This window comes from Homo sapiens, chromosome 2 (assembly GCF_000001405.40).
Source record: "Homo sapiens chromosome 2, GRCh38.p14 Primary Assembly".
In the NCBI taxonomy this organism is placed as follows: Eukaryota; Metazoa; Chordata; class Mammalia; order Primates; family Hominidae; genus Homo; species Homo sapiens.
Genome location: NC_000002.12, coordinates 210,448,699 through 210,471,232, shown reverse-complemented (window position 1 = coordinate 210,471,232; position 22,534 = coordinate 210,448,699). Strand labels below are relative to the sequence as shown.

General features: G+C 37.3%; 1 protein-coding gene and 1 long non-coding RNA gene across 7 annotated transcripts in view; one reads left to right on the top strand and one right to left on the bottom strand.

Moving 5' to 3' along the window:
- LANCL1 (LanC like glutathione S-transferase 1) overlaps positions 1-22,534 on the top strand; it is a 46,334-nt gene that overhangs the window by 6,352 nt on the left and 17,448 nt on the right. For all 4 annotated transcript variants that reach the window (XM_005246243.3, NM_001136575.2, NM_001136574.2 and 1 more), the window contains exon 4: positions 15,919-16,126. In XM_005246243.3, the coding sequence (XP_005246300.1) occupies positions 15,919-16,126 (208 nt within the window). The remainder of the gene's footprint in view (positions 1-15,918; positions 16,127-22,534) is intronic.
- LANCL1-AS1 (LANCL1 antisense RNA 1) overlaps positions 900-22,534 on the bottom strand; it is a 145,622-nt gene continuing 123,987 nt past the window's right edge. For 2 of the 3 annotated variants that reach the window (NR_110605.1, NR_110606.1), the window contains 3 exons: positions 10,717-10,758; positions 2,649-2,728; positions 900-2,551 (listed from right to left, as the gene is read on the bottom strand). This is a non-coding gene — a long non-coding RNA (LANCL1 antisense RNA 1). Of the gene's footprint in view, positions 2,552-2,648; positions 2,729-10,689; positions 10,759-22,534 lie in introns of all 3 variants that reach the window. The other variant, NR_110604.1, reaches the window with a different exon arrangement.

Here is a 22,534-nt window from a genome sequence, read left to right as displayed (position 1 = left end):
TTTACTAAAACTACAAAAATTAGCTGGGCATGGTGGCTCATACCTGTAGTCCCAGCTACTCAGGAGGCTGAGGCAGGAGAATCACTTGAACCTGGGAGGTGGAGATTGCAGTGAGATGAGATCACTCCACTGCACTCCAGCCTGGTGATGGAGCAAGACTCCATCTCAAAAAAAAAAAAAAAAAAAAAAATCAAAGAAGAAAAGTTGAAGAACTGCAATTAATTTACCAAATGTAGAGAAACAAAAGACAGCTGTGTAATCTGGAAGAAAGCATAGTCTAGAGACTCAGTGTTTCCCATTCGCTTTAAAGAGTGGGCAAGGAGGAATAAGCTTGCAATCCAGGGAATTTTAATTTGATTTTAAGGAGTGGAATTTGTCATAAAAATGGCCTCATAGCAGAGATTGTGATTCAGTAGATCTTGAGCAGAACCCAGGAATTTGCCTTTTATAGCCATCAGTGGTCCTGATGCAGATGGTGATCTACAGACTGCAGTTTGAAAGCTTTCTGAGAGAAATTTATTAATAATAGCAATCTCTTATTAGTCTTCCTCTTTAGTACAGGTTGAGCATCCCAAATCTGAAAATCTGAAATCCAAAATGCTCCAAAATTTGAAGCTTTTTAAGCTCTGATGTGACACTCAAAGGGAATGTTCATCGAGCATTTAGGATTACCGATGTTCAGATTTGGGATACTCAACTGGTAAATATAAGCCAAATATTTCAATATTTGAAATCCAAAACACTTGTCCCAAGGATTTCAGATAACGGGTACTCAACCAATAATGACACATGATTCTATTTTTTTTTAAACAAGGGTAGGGAAGACAGATTAAACCAGTAAAATTAAAATCTCAGGGACTTTTAAAGTCAATGTTTTGTAAAAATAAGACTGGACTAGATAATGTTGGACCATTTTATTGTTTTATCATTTTTATGGATTGTAGAAGCTTAACACAAAGTTAAAATGAGAATGAAATGACAGGATTTTGTTTCAAGAAGGAAGGTATAACAGCTGCCATTTATTATCTACTGTGTTCCAGGTGTGATGTGGTTGATAGATAATGTCATCAGTGAATGTTGAACATTACTATTTATTTAAAATTATCGTGGTTTGAACAAAACAGGACAAGCACAGCGCACAGTTGTCTTGAGTTTTCCTCTTGATTGCCACATTGTAATAATATATAAGGCTCAAACTTACAGATCTTTTTCTAATATATATGGAGTTTCTATTATTTTGTTATTCCTTGCCAAAAAAAAAAATCACTAGTTAATTCTAGTACTGATTACAAAAGAATGACTTAAACTTCTAAATTGGCCATTCACATGTACTCATATTATTATTGTGAGTTACTTTGCTTTAGGAGGAAAAAAAAGGGGATTGATTTCAAGTTTGAATTAAGTTTGACAATGTTGGGAAGAGTCATTAGTCAGGCCCTTATATTGCTAGGGCTAGTTGAGAACCCAAAAGTTAAAAACTTTGGAAATAGCAAAGACATTTCACTCCAAAGTAAAATGCAAGTTTAATTTTTTTGGCTGTACAGGGTTTCTGGCTTCATCTTTGAATGCCAATATCCTTCAACCTTTTATCCTCAAGTATCTATGATACTCATTGCTGACTCCTGAAAGCAGCTTATATGGCAAGCATCTGAGGCAAATTGGCATACTAAGCAGTTTAGGATGTCCTTAGCAGCTGGTTGTTTTAAGATGTAACGTAAAATCTTCTAGATAAATTTGCTAATGGTTTTCAAGGCAAGGTTCCTAATGTCTCCTAATCGAACACTGTTAAAAAGCTATTATTCCCACATAAAATAGACTGCCTCCTCCAGTGTTTTGATAAGTAAAATGCTACCTTGCGCCAGTGTTTAGACAGTCTAAATAACGTAAAGCTCTGAGTTGTATAAGAAACTAAAACTGATTCAACCCCATAAAATCACAGTGTTAATACCTTCTCCTCCCATTATGTTATAGCTTTCCAAGTATCACTTATTCATAACTGCCGTTTTATTACCAAGAAATGCATTCACAAATACAATAAAAATATTTGGTGTTGTATGTCAAAGCAATGTTTACATAATTATATGTAGATTTTTATGTTACTTTGTGCCCCATGTTATCTTTCCAAAAAATGACACTCTTTAGGAAACACACATTATATTTCTTTAACTTTGTTCAGCATGAGAAAACTGCATGATTATTACAATTAGTTAGAACTTTAACATCTTATTTTGTTAAACGTCATTCTCCAGTATACGTATGGGCTGATAGCTAACACTGGTTAGATAGGATCAGGATTTGGGACAGGATTAGGTTCAGTTATCTATACCCCAAAAAAGAAAACAGAAGTATAGTGGTTTAAATAACTGTATTTTTCTCTTGTAAAAGAAGGCCAGAAAGAGTTGGTCAGTCCAGGCCTGATAGTGTAGCTTCAGGATGTTAATAGGAACCCCAGCTCCTTCCTTTCTGCTCCATCATTCCTCAGCCTCTAGCTTCTACCTCTTGCTCAAGGTGGCTGCTGAAGATCCAGTCATTACATCAGCTTTTCAGGCTGCTGGAGGGAAGAAGAGGCAAAGAAGAATGCATTAATGCATGCTCTCCCTTTAAAAAGCCTTCCTGGAAGTCCCACTCAACATTTCAGTTGTGCTTACTTTGCATTGGCCAGAACATAGTCACGTAGTCACTCTTGTTAGCAAGGAAGGGTAGTAAATGCAGTCTTTTAGCTTGGGTTCTGTTAATAGAGGAAGAGGAGAGTGAACTTTGGGATAAGACCTAGTAGTCTTTGCTGTAACTTCTATATAACAAGAAAAATGATTTTTTTCTTGACTTCTATGTTTTGCACAAGGCATTTGGACAGTGAGCCTCAATTTTTATGTCTGCTAAAGGATCTCTTCTGTTCACTTTTTGGGGGATTTTTGGGGGGATAAATTTACCAGTGTCTATAAAATATTTTGAAATTTTCCAAGCAATATTTTATCTGTTCTTTGTTTCCAGGGAGATTGATTTGGATTTTGATTCACAACACCTTAAAGTTTTGTGTTTTTTTTTTTTCATTCAGTAAGTCTTTGCGTAAAGCCTGCCACAGAAAGTAAGTATTATAGGAATGTCGAATCATAATTTTCCTAGAGCTAAGTGTAACTTAAATCTAGAAGGGACTAGCGATTGATTCTAAACTTAATACTGTAAAACATTACTATTTTTGTAGCTTTATTAAACAGTTACTTGCCATTCTTTTCTGCTTTCTCCCAAACCCTTATTTTCTATTGCAAAATTATAAAGTTTCCAATTTGTACCATGCATCAATTCATACTAAACCCCATAATTGTATGTCTTTGTTTCTACTTCATGACTCTAAAGAAAGCTACAAAACTGGGCTGCCCAACTTCTTAATACCTCATTCATGGTGTGTCTAGATTTGTCTTAGTTGCTCAGTTGATCTTGAAAATGAAAGGGTTCTAGTGAAGAGATGACACATTCATGTGTTTAATGTTAGATGTGTAAAGTTGACCCTTAACAATGTGCAGTTTAAGGGCACATGCCCATTGACACTCTCAAAAGTTTATGTATAACTTTTGTCTCCCCCAAAACTTAACTACTAATAGCTTGCTGTTGAGGAAGCCTTCCTGATAACATAAATAGTTGATTAACACATATTTTGTGTGTTACATTTAATCTGTTCTGTATTTTTACAATAAGGTAGAAAAAAGAAAATGTTAAGAAAATCATAAGGAAGGGAAAATACATTTACTGTTCATTGAGTGGAAGTGGATCATTATAAAGGTCTTCATCCTCGTTTTCACATTAAGTAGGCTGAGGAAGAGGAGGAAAATAAAGAATTGGTCTTGCTCTCATGGGTGGCAGAGGCAGAAGAAGTGAAGGGAGGTGGAAGGGAAGGCAGGAAAGGCAGGAACACTCAGTAACTTTGCAAAAATACATCGTAATTTCTGTCGGACGTTTTTGCTTTTTCATTTCTCTAAAAATATCTGTACGTTGGCAATTCTTCCACCATTTGCTTTAGTGTCAGTGCCCATACCATATACGAATCCGTGTCAGAAATGAAGTAAAAAGCAGTATTGAATAATCAAAACCCTTTTGCCAGACTGTCTAACATCAGTTCATTTTCTGGTGCTGCTTCTTCTATATCTTCCTCATCCTCTAGCACTGGTTCATAAGAACTCATCTTCATCAAGTTGCTTTCTGTTAATTCCTCTGGTGTGGCGTCTATTAGCTCTTGAATTTCTCCAAGATTCATATCTTGAAATCCTTCATCCCCATCCCCCACCTTTTTTTTTGCCATATCCACATCTCTCTCATGATCTCCTTGATTGGTGCCTGTGAAGTCATGCACACTATCTGAACCCAGTTTTCTCCAGCAGGAATTTATTGTTTCAGCCTTGATGGTTTTTGTGGCTTTACTGTATCAACGATGGCATCTCAGTGGTGTAATTCTTCTAGACTTTCATGATGTTCTCTCTATCTGGTTTGTTCCGTGAAAGGGTCACATATGCAAAGTGACCCCCAAATGCTGAAGTAGCTGAAAAATCAAAGGAGGAGGCAGAAAATCCAATTTGTCAGTAAAGGCTGTTTTATTGGAGAACTTAGAGACACAAGCATGGTCTTGGTCAGCCACAAGGCAGGAAGATCTCAACACTGCTACTCCAGAGACCCAGGGCTTACATACCATAGGGAAAGGCAACCCTCAAAAACAGGCAAGACGGCTATGTGTATCACAGCCTATAATTTGTGCATTAGCACCAAGGTTCCTTTGTTCTTATACTAGGGGCAGTAAATAAAGTAAAAACCAGGAGGCATTCACGGGGCCGGGGCTAATCAGAAGTCTGTGTAGAGGATTAGCCTACAAGATGGAGTCACTTTTATCTCCACAGTGTACTCCATAGCACTGACAATCCGTTCCGTAAAGTACTATTTATAATGAGCCTGAGAGGTCCTTATGACCCCCTGATGTAGAGGCTGAATTAGAGACCTGTTTGGGGCAAGTAGACCACTTTGATGTCTTCAGTGTTGAACTCTTGGGTTCTGGGTAGCTAGGGGCATTGTGCACTATTGAAAAAACTTTAAAAGGCAGTCCCTACTGGCAAGATATTTCCCTACATCAAGGAGAAAGCATTGGTGGAACCAAACGATTAAAAAAGGTTCTTGTTGTCCAAGCTTTCCTGTACAACCAAAAGATTGGCAGCTGGTGCTCATCTTTTCTCTTCAAGACCAAGGGGTTGGCAGCTTTATAAATAAGGGTAGTCCTGATCATAAACCCTACAGCATTTGCATTAAACAGTAGAGTTAGTCTGTTCCTTCTTGCCTTAAATCCTGGTGGTCATTTCTCTTCCTTACTAATGCATGTCCTTTGTGGCTTTTCCCCCCCCAGAATAGGGTTCAAAACCTTTTCAGGCAGATAGCCTTTCTCCTCGATTTTTCTTCATCGTACCTGGGAACTTGTCTGCTGCCTCTTGGTTGGCAAAAGCTGCTGCTTCTGTTATCTTGACATTTTTTTAAGCCAAACTTCTTCCTATAATTATCAAACCAACCCTTGCTGGCATTAAATCATACAGCTTTAGATCGTTTTGCTTCTAGTTGCCGTATATTGACTTCACGTTTTCTTGAATCATTTTAGAGTCCTGCACCAACATAAAGGCTACATTTTCAATATGTACTGCAGTTTCACTAAAAATGCAAGGTTTTTGTGCCTGCTGCTGTAACTGCAGTGATGGCTTCATGAATTTCCTTTTCATTCTTTACAGTGGTCCTTATGCTGGATTCATTTATCTTAAAATGGCAGGCAACTGCAGCTGCAGACCTCAATCTATGGTTACATTATATCAAGCAGTTCAGGTGTTTCGTGTAATGTCACGACTTTTTTCTGCTTCGTGGAAGCACTTTCAGCATCACTAGTGGCACTTTGTATGTGTCCCATGGTGTTATTCAAGGTTTACAATATTGCACTAAAAACAATTAAAAATATGCAAGAATCAGAAGAGATTACTCTTTCCTGTGATATGTAATTTACTGGAGAGACAGAGATAATGATCTCAAGCAGAGATAATTCACATCACATGTTATTTTAAGTGGAGCAACACTTGATTTCACATCAGCAACAGGAGGTGGCTAAGAAGTTATTGCTGTACTACAGTATGCACTGGAGTTAATTTACGAAGTTATTTTTCATCTTTACATTTTTTGACATCTCTCTTGACTGCAGGTGGCACTATGTACAGTCTGTACGCATAAGTTTTTTTTTTTTTTTTTTTGAGACGGAGTCTCGCCCTGTCACCCAGGCCGAACTGCGGACTGCAGTGGCGCAATCTCGGCTCACTGCAAGCTCCGCTTCCCGGGTTCACGCCATTCTCCTGCCTCAGCCTCCCGAGTAGCTGGGACTACAGGCGCCCGCCACCGCACCCGGCTAATTTTTTGTATTTTTAGTAGAGACGGGGTTTCACCTTGTTAGCCAGAATGGTCTCGATCTCCTGACCTCATGATCCACCCGCCTCAGCCTCCCAAAGTGCTGGGATTACAGGCGTGAGCCACCGCGCCCGGCCTGTACGCATAAGTTTTAATAAATTTTAGCTTTTTATAATAGATTTGTGTATATTTTATCCTAGTGATAAAATAGACTAGTAACTATATATATTTTGTGCATTCATGACACACCTTTTTCTTAATTTTTTCGATATTTCTGGTCTACACAGTTCATCTGCAAGTTTTTTCAAATTGTCGACAGAAGCCCAAAAAAGTTTCCACTATATATATATATTTTTAAATCTGTGTACGAGTAGACCCATGCAGTTCAGACCCATGTTGTTTAAAAGCCCACTGCACTTGGAACTGAAAAACTGACTCCTTTTTTTCCCCATCTATCTTTTCAACAAAAATTAAAACTAATAGAAGGTACTTATTAGAATTCTGCTAAAGTACTTCTGAGTGTTAAACATGCTTAGTAAAATGATTATTACAATTAGTTAGGACTTTACAATTTTATTTTGTTGTTTCATTCCCCAGTAGTATGTAGATGGTCTGATAATTAACGCTAGTTCAGATAAGATTAGGATTTAGAATAGGATTATTCCAAATAATTCGTATATACACAATGCTTTGTTGGTAAGGGTGATATGTACAGGTTTAAATAGAAATGTAACAGAAGCAAATAATTGCTTAAGAAAGTACTTTACACTTACTTTACAAACTGTTTTACAACTGAAATTATCTTGGCTTTTATTTTAAAATTGAAGCAGAGGGTATGAAATAGTGAAGAGATTGGTTAACATGAACTTTTAATAGAACTCAAACGTCATTTCCACTGCAGCCTACATATTTACACCTGTGAGTTGTCATAGTGCAATTTTACAAGCTGTATCCCTGACTTTTACCTTTTTTATTCACAGCAGAGGTAAAAATGCCCTGACCGTGGGAAAGAAAGGAGGGAAGAATTTTAAAAACCTGTAGCTGTCCCATATTGTCTAAAGAGGCAGTTATTACCATAAATCCCTCTGGTCTCTCTCATGCTCATTCAGGAATGAGATGTTATGATTAATCAATTTTTCAGACAGTAAATTAGACTTAACAAATTACTTCTATAATGTTCAAAAAAAGAATAATAAAATAGATTGACTGAATGTTGGTTCCCAAGGGAATAAAGATCATCAGTATGCAGTTTTATGATCATTTGACTGTTGGAGGACAGGAGTAAGATTAAAACACTCTTCGTGGTGATAAAATGTTACTGCAGTTAACATCTGAATGACAAGACAGGGTGCAGGCACGTACACCAATAACTACTGTTGTATGCCAGGCACCATTTTAAGTGTGTTGCATTAATTCACTAATCTAAACCTCAAAAAAACTTTATATAGCCAGGTCTGGTGGTGGGTGCTTGTAATCCCAGCTACTCAGGAGGCTGAAGCAGGAGAATCGCTTGAATCCAGGAGGCGGAGGTTGCAGTGAGCCAAAATCGTGCCACTGTACTCCAGCCTGAGCAACAAAGGGAGACTGTCTCCAAAAAAAAAAATAAATAAATAAACCTTTATGGCCAGAATACCATTCATATCCTCATTTCACCGATAAGAAAAATGAGGCAAAGCAAGGCTGAGTACTTCATTCAAGGTTATAGAGCTAGTGACAATGTTAAGGTTCAACCCAAACAAGCCTGGCTCTTGAGTCCTGCTCTTTACCCTATGAGCATGTGTGTATATGTGTGTTTACTCTCAGCCTCTACATATGAGTTTATTCTGTACACTTTATAAGTGAAGAAGGTTTATTCATAAGCTATAAGATGGAGTAGTTTGAACAATGACATGATACTCATTCCATACAAACTTCATAGAAGTGGCTAATGACTAGTCAGATTTAAGTGTTTTATTAAAAGAAATAAGAGTCAGAGTAAGCCCTGATAAAGTATGAAAGGAATTTGGAAAGTAAGAAGGAAACAAGGCTTATTAGGCAAGAGTAATTACTATTTAAAAAGTTATTTAGAATTGGACATAAACCCTGAGAAGACTTACAGGCATTTGCAGCTAGAAAAATGAAAAAATCTCCAGTGTTTTTCTATAGAAGGTGTTTTTCCCCTTCCTAATCTTGTATTAATATATTCAGCATGGTTTCAGGATAGAAAATTAATTGGGCCGAGACAGAAGCTTTTCCTCATAATTGCTTCTTTTTGAAAAGGCTTAAAGATCTTCTCAAGTGAATTATCATCCATAGTCTGAAATCAATTGGTAGCTCCTGCAGCTGTTAATAAGTGATATTTTGAATGAACAGCCTCAGTTCTTTTCACCAAAATTCTCCTTTGTAAAATTTAGTACATGGGAGCGTAATGCATCATGATATTGATGTATGACATATGCCTGCAATAAGCATTGAGTTGTTCATTTTTAGCCTTAATCTTTTCCCAGTAGACTTACCGGAATTATGTGCTCATGGCTTGTGTAGCAGGGGACACATTTTAGTTATTTAGGAACCCCATTAAGAGTTGTTATATATGACTCTACACATAGCAGCAGACAGTACAGAAAAATAGCAAGCCTGGAGGCCCCTTAAGATCAAATCCACTGGTCAGCTACTGAGTGGTTCCCAGTGGTGTCCAGAGATCACTGGGGTCTCACCAGAGAACGTAATGCTACCTGCCATGGAGCTGGTCTGGGTTTTGATCCAGGTAGACTGTAGGTGCTAGTGGGGAGAACATTCTAAAGTGCTTTATAAAATGGAAACCACAAAACACTGGTAAGGAATTGTTATTATAAAGGATTAAATGAGCAGATAAGGTGTTCTTGTGTTAGAAATAAACATTTAATCAAAAAGATTCCTTCCCTTGCAGATAACATAGTAGAAAAGTTAAGTAAACCCAAGGGATGGCTGATCTCACTACTGTCTTTAAGAGACAATAAGGGAAAATGCTAGCCCTTATTTCATTTTTTTTCCCACTCTTAACTGTGACGATTCTTAAGGGAAATGATGATCAGCTCACACTTAAAAAAAAAAATACATACAGGACTCTAGGGACTTCTGTTCTGAAAGACATGACCCAATCTTCTGTAACCGACTCACAAAGTTAATGAGGCTAAAATTGGCATGTATTTCCTCTTTTCAAATATTAGATAACATTTTAAACAAGAGGATATGTAGCATAATCCCTAGAGTAATATTAACTTGCACTCTAAATGCAAGTCATTATAGTGTTTCAAGATGCTGTTCCTCTGATCTACCAAATGTATAGCCTTTGAGCTGCAGATTTCACATGTGGGTATTAGTTACTGCTGACACCAGACTTACTTGAAAGGAGTCACTCTGGCCAGGTGTCTTCTCTTTGCAATTTGATCTGTTTGTAAGTAGCTCTTCATCAGAGCCAGCATTTCAGTGTTTAATTTGAGCCCTGGCCAAGTGTCCTTCACCTTCACCTTCATTAGATGCACCTATCCCACCCAGCCAGAGGTGTTAGGACAAGTAGAAAGAGCTATGGGCATGGATTTACGCTGGATTCATTAGAGCACTTCACAATGGCCACTAGATAGATGAATGCAATTGTGGAGTTTAGACACCACCATTGGGCTTGAGTGAACCAGAGTAGGATGAGAGTGTGAAACAGATCAGAAAAAAGTAGGAAGGAAAGAAGACATATCTAAACAATCTGACTTTTACAGCCAACACCCAGAAGGCTTGGTGTTTGTCATTTTCATTCCAGTAACGTCAACACTTAGCACAGTGCCCAATTCATAGTTGGTGGGCTACAGGGCACTGGGGGAAGGAAAACAATGTTTCCCTGTTTTTTTGTTTTGTTTTTTTCATCTTATTTTCTATTGGTTAGTCAGCTCTGAAATTAAGAAGAAAAGAAAAGACACATCTTCAGAGTACTTATTTGCCCTCTTTATTCTCTGTTTTACTCATTTGTTTGGGGCAATATTATTAAATTAAAGGTGTGGAGTCACTAGTTTCCTCCCCAGATCATCTGTGAAAGCACTGGAGTATTTGAAAGCCACGGCCCACAATGCTCAGCTTTAGTCAGACAGCTGGGCATATGTCCTACTCAGTGGATTGTTGACAGTTCAGGCATGGGGAGAGTGCTGTGCACAGTAACAACAGTGCTCTAAAGACAAATGTGATTTTGTTGAAGAAATGGAAATGCACATGGTCAACATTCAGCACAAAATTGAGAAACAATTACAAAGGAACATGTTAGAAATTATCAACCTGATATAGAAAGACAGGTGGTCATACTTGCAGTCAGAGAATACTTTCACTTCTTATTTTTTCATAAATCTGAAAAGAAGAAAACATAATAATTGATGAGCCATTAACGTTTCAAGTAGGGAAAAATGTATTTGAACTTAGATTGGAACACCCAAGTGCCCCCTCCTTTGGGAAGTTCCTGTCTCCATGTCATTCTAAACTAATGAGTGTTAGTTAAGCACCTCCAGTGAGCCTTGTAGATCTAAAATCTGAACATGATTTTCCCTACCAGAGTACATGAAGGGAGTCTTTAAATGCCCTTGAACTGCACGAAAATGCCTCACAGAGCTAAAGTACCGTGGCACAAAGCTTTTTACATCACTGTAAGCTGGTCGTAAAACAAATGAAAAATGTTGAGGAATAATCTGTAGAATGCAAAATCGCAGAAAAGTATTTTGAGAGATTCATGTATCTGTGGAGATTTTTATCTCCATATGCATATGAGACACAGCAAGGTCTTGATTGGCCAAAATGAATAGGACTAATGATCCGTCAGAAATTCAAAGGCTTAGTATTAATTACTTCTCAACAGCTGGCTGTATTTATAGTACTGCTTGGCATAAGTTCCTGAGTAAGGAAATTGCAGATTTAGAAGTGTCCCTAAATAATTTACCCTCCCATCCCCAGGGTAGTAGCTACAGGAAAAAAAAAAAAATCTAGTTCACAGCTTTCGTGCTGAAGCCAGGACTGATTCCTATTACAACAGGAATTTTATTTGGTCCTCACAGCATGTTTGTTTGTTTGTTTGTTTGTTTGTTTGTTTGTTTTTAATAGTTATCAACATTTCAAGACCAAGAAATTCTTAGGGTAAACTGACAGGCAGTGCCAGACTTCCTGAACTTCTTGTACGGAATGACATCTATTCCTGGTCTTCAGAGCAGTACTCTCCTTGGAATGTTCTGCAGTAATGGAAATGTTGTTATTTCCATCGCGACAGCCACTAGCCACATGTGGCTATTGAACATTCTAAATGTGGCTAGCATGACTAAGATTGAATTTTAAATTGTGTTTACTTTTAATTAACTTATATTACTGTAGACATTTATGGTTAGAGGGTATCATACTGGACACTGCACTTCTAGATGAACCAGGCAGGTTGCAGGAGTAGTAATTCAAAGTACTATACATCTGGATGTGTAGATTTTCTTCTATGTTTTCTTCTAGTTGTTTTACAGTTTCTGGTCTTAAGTCTAAGTCTTTAGTCCATTTTGAGTTGACTTTTGTATATAGTATAAAATGAGGTTCAAATTTCATTCTTCTGCTTGTGGATATACATAATAGTCATACTTACGAATATGACATTTAGTAACACCATTTATTAAATATAAAATAATTCTAAACTCTAGATCAGTTTAGAGCAGATTTTTACAATTAAGTTCAATCAAAATTTAAATCTCATTCAAGTTTTTTCTGGTCTAGAAGAGAAGATGAAGGGAAGGAAGCATGTCTCCACTCTATTTTTTGCTTAGCAGACAGCACAAAAGGAAATGTAATGTGATATTCAAATTTAAGCCCAAGAATACACTTGGCTAAAACCGGCTTTTGTCACATTTTAAAGTAGATGCATATTCTTTGATAAAAAGATGAAAGAAAATATTAAAAAGATGAAACTGCCTACATCATTCTTTGTCAAAACTCGAACAATTTTGGCTGTTATGTTAGAAGTCAGTAGAAATGTTTTTTCTCATTAAGTGTCCTTCAGAGAATAGAATCATATTTGGGAATGAATTTATTAATGGATACAACTGTACTCTTTCCTCCCAAACCTGATTCTCCAACAGAGGGGTTTGCCATCTCAGTGGATGGCACCATTTTCCATTTAGCTGTTGAAGTTAGTCATCGGGAGGCATTTTGACATCTTCTTCTCCGCCATCCCCCACCAGGTTCTGCTGATTTTACTTTCTAGACAGGTATCTTTCCAGTTCATTCTGACAAGATCTGTATTGCACCACCCACCCTGTGTCTCGCTCCTACTCCTGAAGCATCCTCCTAACTGTTCCTCCTGCATCCACTGTTTCATACACTCCCTTGCAAACCTTACAGTGCAGTTATGGTGAACTTTTAACAAAACAAATCTAAGTATATTCTTCCCACGCTTAAAATGGGTGCATTTCAAATGAAACTCCAAATCCTAACTGGCCTGCTAGACTCTGTGTAATCTAGCTTCTGCCTGCCTCTCTAGCTTTGAGAAGAGCTGTCTTCCTTAGGATTAGGCCTACCAGGACATGGCAATACATCTAAAATAACAGTGGCTTTAACAGAACCGAAGTTTATTTTTCTCTTATGTAAGTAGGCAATCCATGGACTGGTGTGGCAGCTTCACAGTCCTCCAGGATTAGGTGGCTTTGATCTTTGAAACTTTACCACCCTCAGCACAGAGCTTCCAACTCATGGTCCTTAGACGATGACTGCTCTAGCTGCACCATCACATCTGTATTCCAGCCAGGAAGAAAGTAGAAAAGGAAATAAATCGCCAGTGCCTTCCCTTCAAGAACATTTTCCAAAGTTGCCTCCACTACTCCCACTGCATCCTGTTGTTCAGAACTTCGCCACATAGCCATACCCGGCTGTGAAGAAAATTGTTCTTAGCAGCCTGTGCCCAGCTAAAATCCAGGGCATTATTGTTGAGAGAAAGGCAAGATACATTTGGAAAACCACTTACTCTCCATCACAAGAGCTAACTCCTCATTTTCTAGAGTAGAATATGAGTCAGAAATATCTGACATAGAAAACTTAACAGATAGCACATAAGCATATTATTAGAAATAGACAGATACTAGAGAAAATGGCTGAAACTGATGAAAATGGTTGCCTCTGGAAGGCAGGAACACAGTAAACCAGAGGACTGGTGTTTTGCATATTAAATCTTTCAGTACTGTATAATTTTTTCCATGAAGAACATATATATTTTGATAAACATTGCATTTGAAGGCATTTCTAGGCATTGACTGAAGCCAGGCCCACAAGTATGTATTAGGACTGGGTGAATTTTCCCTGCAAAGCCCGTGAAGTTGTGTTTTTATTTCCCACCTTGCCAACCATCCCTGAGTCTTTGGTATTGATTCAAAGGTGGTGGTGTATGCATGGTTATTGTCAACAGTTGAGGACCATAAAGATCAGGTTTAAGACATTTGGCCACAAGCAGTCCTCCCTTTTTTCTGTCATTAGGACACATTCTATTATTTTCTATTATATAAAATACTGATGAGGTATTAAATGTCTGTGACATAATACATTTTGTCTTATTTTCCTGACCTGGGCTGATTTATAATAAGCATGTGCAGGAAACTTTTTCTAATTGGCAGCAGCACTCACCACTTAAAGTCCTTTTCCACCATGGATGTTCTGTGACAGGGAATGTAGACACAGTAAACTATCATCTGCAGAAGATTGCTTATCAAAATCCACAGACCCAGAGGCCCAAATGAGAGGTAGGGGAGAACTGGAACATGAGATTGTGGAATCCCAGAAACTAGAAAGATAATTCTCTGCCTATCAAAAAGAAAGTTTTAATCCAAATGTACTCTTGTGAGACTTGAGAAATGATTACCTGTTTTTCATGAGAAATACACCAAATCTTACAATTGCAAGCCTTAATAGGTTTTGTTTGTTAAATAGTTAAGCCAAGAGGAATTGTTGCTAATGAGAGACAAAGATCTGAAAGAAAAACAATCACTGGGCTTGTGTTTAATCACTTTTTATTTTCTCAGATCTCCATCATGTCATTATCTGGCTTTGGTGCTTACATAACTTAACTAGGAGAGTTCAGGCAGCAATGGGAATAGGAGGGCAAAATGAAAGGTTAACAATTTAAATGGATCACCTGCAGATGCGTGATATGGATGGAGATGAAGCCTATTAAGGACCTAATTTTAGAAGAAGCTCTTGACATCAATCATTTGTGAAAAGGGTTTTTTTTTTTTTCTTACCTACACACAAGGTTTTGTACACTTGTCTACAAACCTTAAGCATTGATGCATCTGATCATCAGCTTGTGGGATTACTAACACCAAGCCACTTTGAAAGAGCAGTCAAGGTTATTAACTTTGGCAGGAAATGAAAATTTGGCCTTAATATACATGTGAAATTGAATTGTCTGTAGCACAAAGCTTTGGAGATTACCCATGCAAAATGAGAAAACTATCTAAATTTAAAATTGTCCTCAGTACAGGGAAAGTAATTTTGCAGACAGCATTTTTACTGCATTGAAATCCGTGAAGATTGGCTCTATTAATTTAAATTTAAACAGAGGTTCTGTGTCTTCTAAAAATCGCAAATGAGATGGAAAATGTACTTCAAGGGAAAAAATGGGTTTCTGGATATGCTGCAGGCAGGCAGGCAGGCTTCCTACTCCACATCTTTGAGTCTGCCCTGAGACCAGTTAGCTTCAGAGGGAAGGCTCTTTCCACTGTGACAGGCATTTGAAATAAGGACATGCAGACAATGCCTCTATTACATATTTCAGGCTTCAAGAGTAGGGTAAGAAACTGATCAAGTAGAGCCCAAGGCAAAAGTCATTGGTGGCTTTTACATTACATTTACCAAAGTAGGTGGGCCCTCGACAGAAAAAAATCTAGGGGTTGAATATTTTTTCTCAGCTATCAAATAACTTTCTTATAATCCCTGCCTGGAAGGATACTGGGGCAGGGGATTTGGTTACATTAACTACCTTTTCACAAAAAAAAAAAAAAAAACACACACACACACAAAACAAACTTTTACGTAAAGAGAAATTGAAATTTTCATTCCCTGGTCTTTGAATTTCTTTAGTTCACAACAAACCCTTTCTTATTAAATAATTATTGGTAAATCAATTACATTTATTTGGAACCCTAGTTTAATGACACATCATTTCGACATCAAGAAGAATACATTAACACAATAACCAGAGTACAACAAAGACTAATAATAGGCTGTGTGTCTCTTTATTGGCCAGAGCCTTAGAGACCTTATTATTTAATAGAGTTGTCATAATGAGGAAACTGAGGACAAGTAAGTGGTTGGCTTATGCTGGTTCGTAGAGTTGCTTACTAATAGAGCTGAGCCTAGAATTAAAGTCACCCAAACTTCCAGATCATTAATAAATTTGCTACAGGTTATCAAAAATCGCTGCTGAGTAGACACCATGCCAAAAATAATAAAATAACTGCCTTTCCTCATCTTTACATTGTTTCCTTTTTTTTTTTTCAGGTATTGCTGTGCTTTACTTACATCTTTATGATGTATTTGGGGACCCTGCCTACCTACAGTTAGCACATGGCTATGTAAAGCAAAGTCTGAACTGCTTAACCAAGCGCTCCATCACCTTCCTTTGTGGGGATGCAGGCCCCCTGGCAGTGGCCGCTGTGCTATATCACAAGATGAACAATGAGAAGCAGGCAGAAGATTGCATCACACGGTAATCATGTTTCTATATGAGGATTATTTTCTAGCATCATTATGCATTAATTCTGCATGTGTTAACAAAAGAACATTCTAGTGAGTTTACTTTTCTCTTAGCAGATAAATCTCACTGCTGTCATTTGATCAATTGTCATATTCCTGTGTTGTAGTTAAGGAACAACGATTATAATCCCTATTTTAGTGCAAGATAAAAGACACTGTCATGTTCCAGATTAAACATCAGTTCAATAATGTAAATGAGATCGAAAGCCTTAACATATGATTACTAATCCAAAGTGCTATCCAAGATCTGTAATTCAAGGAAATGCAGTTCAGTTCCTACAGGTGGGCTGGGAGAGTCCTTCTAAGGGACCACAGACTGATTCAAAACGGCCTTTCTTAGAGGCAATGACATGCACATCCTGATTTTCATTTTGGTATAAATTATGGTGGTCCACTAGAAGCTGGTGAATTATGAAGAATTATTAAATGTTTGTACTAATAGACTTTAATTGTTGCCTTACCAGAGTTTATTAAGCACTCTTTCGGAGTTCTAAGAACCCTGGCTGCCGTGCAACTCTGCATGCATCGCTCTTAGGCTCCACTGCGCGTGCTAACACTCCAGCAACGTTTTAACCAGTGACTGTCCCTGAGTTGACCATGGTGTTTGATTCCCACTATTCTTTCTTATAGATTACTGTTAGGATGGCATTACCATCACCAATTTAGTTTGTCTAGGATCCGTTGGCTAATCTTATACTGTTTGCTGGTGTATATTTAAACAACAGGCTTTTTGGACTTTTTAAGATATCATAGTGCTGTATTCAAAAAAGGAATGATTTATACCCCTATTGTTTAGGCGTGTGTGTGTGTGTGTGTGTGTGTGTGTGTGTGTGTGTGTGTATGTATGCATATCTCCCTTCTCTCCCAATTTTTTCCCATGCAGTGATATTTTCTTATTGTAACTAACTTTTTCCACTGGAAAGTGTAACAAAAAGAAGGGGTGGGAGTCTTGCTCCACCCAAAATGATTTGGGAATCATTATATTGGATCATTTTCTGAATTGACGTATTCTTCAAAACACCTTTTTTTAAATACATGCCTATGCTACATTTCTTAGGGGCTAGACATTACATAGTATAACTTTAAAAACACATTACTTAGTGTGTCTAGAGGAAAAAAACTGAACATTCCACTCCAGAGCTGAGAAGCTTTTAATATAAAACCTGTCACCAAGCTCGACCAAAATGAAAGATGAAACAAAACAGTGATTTCCCCCAAAGTTTAAAGTGTGTTCCTTCCATAGTAGCTGACTTGCATAAGACTTGCCAATACAAAAACTGTTCCATACTCACCTAAATTTGAAACACAGAGACTACCTTTTAATTTTTTTTACATAGCTGATGTTTAAAGCCATCAGCCAACAACTGCTTTAGAGGTCCACAAGATACTCTCATTCAGTGAATCACTTGTTAAGTACCATCAGATAAATTGTAGTGCTCCCAATATTCTATATATAATGCCAGCCTTTCCATAATACATGCAGCCACATTTTAATAGTTTGCTATGTGAGAAATGTTAATGTGTTCAATGAGACCAAGATTCATAGATTCAAACAGATGGGAATTTGTATCAAAGCACTAATTAAACAAAATTAAATATGTGTCTTTACCGGCTGCTTAGCTTCTTCTGTAGCTTGTATACCTGGGGACAACACGCCAACTCTAGGGAGCAGCACTTGCCAATGTTAACTCACCTATACAACCCTCTTCTTCATGAAATCTTGAGGGCCTATTCTAACACACTCTTTGGGAAATGGTACAATATCAATATTAGTGTATTAAAATGCTCCTAAGAGTATGCTAAGATTTTTGTTGTTTTTGGTATATTGGTACTAAGGGTGTTGTTGTCATTTACCTTTTTAAATTTTGACATTTCGACAGTATTTATAGCCAGTAGGCTTGTTAAGGTTAAAAATATAGTATGTGAATATAATAGGAAAATACACTATTTGTGGCTATAGCTTTGATTTTTTTCAGATTTTTTATTTTATACAAAACAGAAAAAGAATGACTTGGAATGATTTGTAAGTTACGGAGTTTGCTTTATCTTTTCAAAGGAAAAATCTAGAAATTTGACTTAATTTCAAGAAATCCAAAATTATTTAATATAAGTTATTTAGTAAACCTCCTTTAACTTTTTACTAAACCTTTTTTCTCATTTTACAGACCTTTTGAGATCCCACGCTCACATTCTCTGTGTACTGCCTTTGTTGTGCTTCATTGCCAACATCATGTTCTAGCTAGCTTGCTTTTTCTACATTTTCTTAATGTAATGTTCTTTCAAAAGCATAATTTTTAAGTTTTAGAGACCAGACAGTCCTTTGAGATCATCAAAAGTCTAATCCTTACAGAAATTGAAATCCAAGGAAATCAGTGTTTCCCTATAGTACATATTCTTAACCTTGGGCCAGAATCTTAGGGTTTCTGGCAGTGTATAAAACCCCCAAATTATATTCAAGGAGGGAGCATTTGTGCTTTTCTTAAAGGGATCTATAACTCCCCAAAAGGAGGGTGTGTGTGTGTATGTTCATGTTCAAATTGTCCTACAAATGGCTGGGGAGTGGAGGGGAGGACAATACATTGCATTAATTTGTTCTACTGCCTGATACATATCAGATCTGTTTTCATCCCACCCACTTCTACACATCAGTGCCACAACATGAATAAAGTGTGTTGCCTGTTCCCAATTAGATGGCTAACCTAACATTTATAGTGCTTTGGGGCCAGTACTTAGAATGATGAAGCGCTCTGGCTTTCTGGTCCAGAAATATATAACCTCCCTTCTTGTAGTGTGACGAGTCAGTAATGGACATCTTTTTTTTTTTTTTAATAAGCAGAAAAGGGATTTAAAAATATTTATTGTGGTAAAATATACATAACATAAAATTTGCAATTTAACCATTTTTAAATGTACAGTTCATTGGCATTAATTATATTCACAGTGTTGTACAACCATCAGCACTATTTATTTTCAAAAAATGTTTTATTACTCCAACAGAAACTGTACCCATTAAAAAGTAATTCCCCATACCCCCATACCATCATCCCCTGGTAATCTATATTCTACTTTTTCTATGAATTTGCTTATTTTACGTATTTTATATAAGTGGATTATACATTTGTTCTTTTGTGTCTGGCTTACTCCATTTAGCATAGTGTCTTCAAGGTTTATCTACGTTATAGAATGTATCAAAACTTTGTTCCTTTCAATGACTGAATAATATTCCATTATATGTATATACCACATTTCTTTTTTATCTCAGAAAAGGAATTTTTAAAAGGCTATTTAGTAGGTTCTGGAGAAGGAAGCCTGGAGCCTATATAGCCAGTGTGGGGCTGTGAGTGCTATGGGGGCTTTGGAATTCCAGCTGCACTCCCTACTGTGTGATCTTGGGTAAATTACTCTAAACCTTAGTCTCTCATTTGTAAAATAGAGATAAGGAATGTTGTGCAGATTATTTATTTGAGATAATTGATGGAAATCACTTAGCATAAATTATGGCACCTAAACTGAAAAAGTACTTATAAATGTTACCTATTATTATGGCTTGTAAAAATCATTGCTTATGCTTCTACTTTTTTGTTGTTATTATACTTTGAGTTCCGGGGTACATGTGTAGAATATGCAGGTTTGTTACACAGGTATACACGTGCCATGGTGGTTTGCTGCACCAATCAACCTGTCATCTACATTAAGTATTTATCCTAATGCTATCCCTCCCCTAGTCCCCCACCCCCTGACAGGCCCCGGTGTGTGATGTTCCCCTCCCCGTGTCCATGTGTTCTCATTGTTCACTTAATGAGTGAGTACATGTGGTGTTTGGTTTTCTGTTCTTGTGTTAGTTTGCTGAGAATGATGGTTTTTAGCTTCATCCATGTCCCTGCAAAGGACATGAACTCATCCTTTTTTATGGCTGCATAGTATTCCATGTTGTATATGTGCTACATTTTCTTTATCCAGTCTATCTTTGGTGGACATTTGGGTTGGTTCCATGTCTTTGCTATTGTGAACAGTGTTGCAATAAACATACGTGTGCATTTGTCTTTGTAGTAGAATAAGTTATAATCCTTTGGGTGTATACCCAGTAATGGAATTGCTGGTCAAATGGTATTTCTGGCTCTAGATCCTTGAGGCATTGCCACACTGTCTTCCACAATGGTTGAACTAATTTACACTCCCACCAACAGTGTAAAAGCATTACTATTTCTCCACATTCTATGCAGCATCTGTTGTTTCCTAACTTTTTAATGATCGCCATTCTAACTGGCTTGAGATGGTATCGCATTGTGGTTTTGATTTGCATTTCTCTAATGACCAGTGATGATGAGCTTTTTTTCATATCTTTGTTGGCCACATAAATGTCTTCTTTTGAGAAGTATCTGTTCATATCTTTTGCCCACTTTTTGATGGAGTTATGTTTTTTTCTTGTAAATTTGTAGATTCTGGATATTAGCCCTTTGTCAGATGGATAGATTGCAAAAATTTTCTCCCATTCTATAGGTTGCATGTTCACTCTGATGATAGTTTCTTCTGATATTCAGAAGCTCTTTAGTTTAATTAGATCCCATTTGTCAATTTTGGCTTTTGTTGCCATTGCTTTTGGTGTTTTAGTCATGAAGTCTTTACACATGCCTATGTCCTGAATGGTATTGCCTAGGTTGTCTTCTAGTGATTTTATGGTTTTAGGCCTTACATTTAAGTCTTTAATCCATCTTGAGTTAATTTTTGTATAAAGTATAAGGAAGAGGTCCAGTTTCAGTTTTCTGTATATGGCTGGCCAGTTATCCCAGCACCATTTATTAAGTAGGGAATCCTTTCCCCATTGCTTATTTTTGTCAGGTTTGTCAAAGATCAGATGGCTGTACGTGTGTGGTGTTATTTCTGAGGCCTCTGTTCTGTTCTATTGGTCTATATATCTGTTTTTGGTACCAGTACCATGCTGTTTTGGTTAATGGACCCTTGTAGTATAGTTTGAAGTCAGGTAGCATGATGCATCCAGCCTTGTTCTTTTTGCTTAAGATTCTTTTGGCTATGCAGGCTCTTTTTTGGTTCCATATGAAATTTAAACTAGTTTTTTCTAATTCTGTGAAGAAAGTCAGTGGTAGCTTAATGGGGATAGCATTGAATCTATAAATTACTTTGGGCAGTGTGGTCATTTCCCAATATTGATTCTTCCTATCCATGAGCATGGAATGTTTTTCCATTTGTTTGTGTCCTCTGTTATTTTCTTGAGCAGTGGTTTGTAGTCCTCCTTGAAGAGGTCCTTCACATCCCTTGTAAGTTGTAGTCCCAGGTATTTTATTCTCTTTGTAACAATTGTGAATGGGAGTTCACCCATGATTTGGCTCTTTGTCTATTATTAGCGTATAGGAATGCTTGTGATTTTTGCACATTGATTTTGTATCCTGAGACTTTGCTTATCAGCAGCTTAAGGAGATCTTGGGCTGAGATGAAGGGGTTTTCTAAATATACAATCATGTCGTCTGCAGACAGAGACAATTTGACTTCCTCTGTTCCTATCTGAGTACCCTTTATTTCTTTCTCTTGCCTGATTGCCCTGGCCAGAACTTCCAATACTATGTTGAATAGGAGTGGTGAAAGAGGGCATCCTTGTTTTGTGCTGGTTTTCAAAGGGAATGCTTCTAGTTTTTGCCCATTCAGTATGATATTGGCTGTGGGCTTGTCATAGATAGCTCTTACTATTTTGAGATACATTCCATCAATACCTAGTTTATTCAGAGTTTTTAGCATGAAGGGCTGTTGAATTTTGTGGAAGGCCTTTTCTGCATCTATTGAGATAGTCATGTGGTTTTTGTCTTTGGTTCTGTTTATGTGACGGATTACATTTATTGATTTGTGTATGTTGAACCAGCCTTGCATCCCAGGGATGAAGCTGACTTGATCATGGTGGATAAGCTTTTTGATGTGCTGCTGGATTTGGTTTGCCAGTATTTTACTGAGGATTTACATATTGATGTTTTTCAGGGATATTGGCCTGAAATTTTCTTTTTTTTGTTGTGTCTCTGCCAGGTTTTGGTATCAGGATGATGCCTCATAAAATGAGTTAGGGAGGAGTCCCTTTTTTCCTGTTGTTTGGAATAGTTTCAGAAGGAATGGTACCAGCTCCTCCTTGTACCTCTGGTAGAATTCGGCTGTGAATCTGTCTGGTCCTGGACTTTTTTTGGTTGGTAGGCTATTAATTACTGCCTCAATTTCAGAACTTGTTATTGGTCTATTCAGGGATTCAGCTTCTTCCTGGTTTAGTCTTGGGAGGGTGTATGTGTCAAGGAATTTATCCATTTCTTCTAGATTTTCTAGTTTATCTGCATAGAGATGTTTATAGTATTCTCTGATGGTAGTT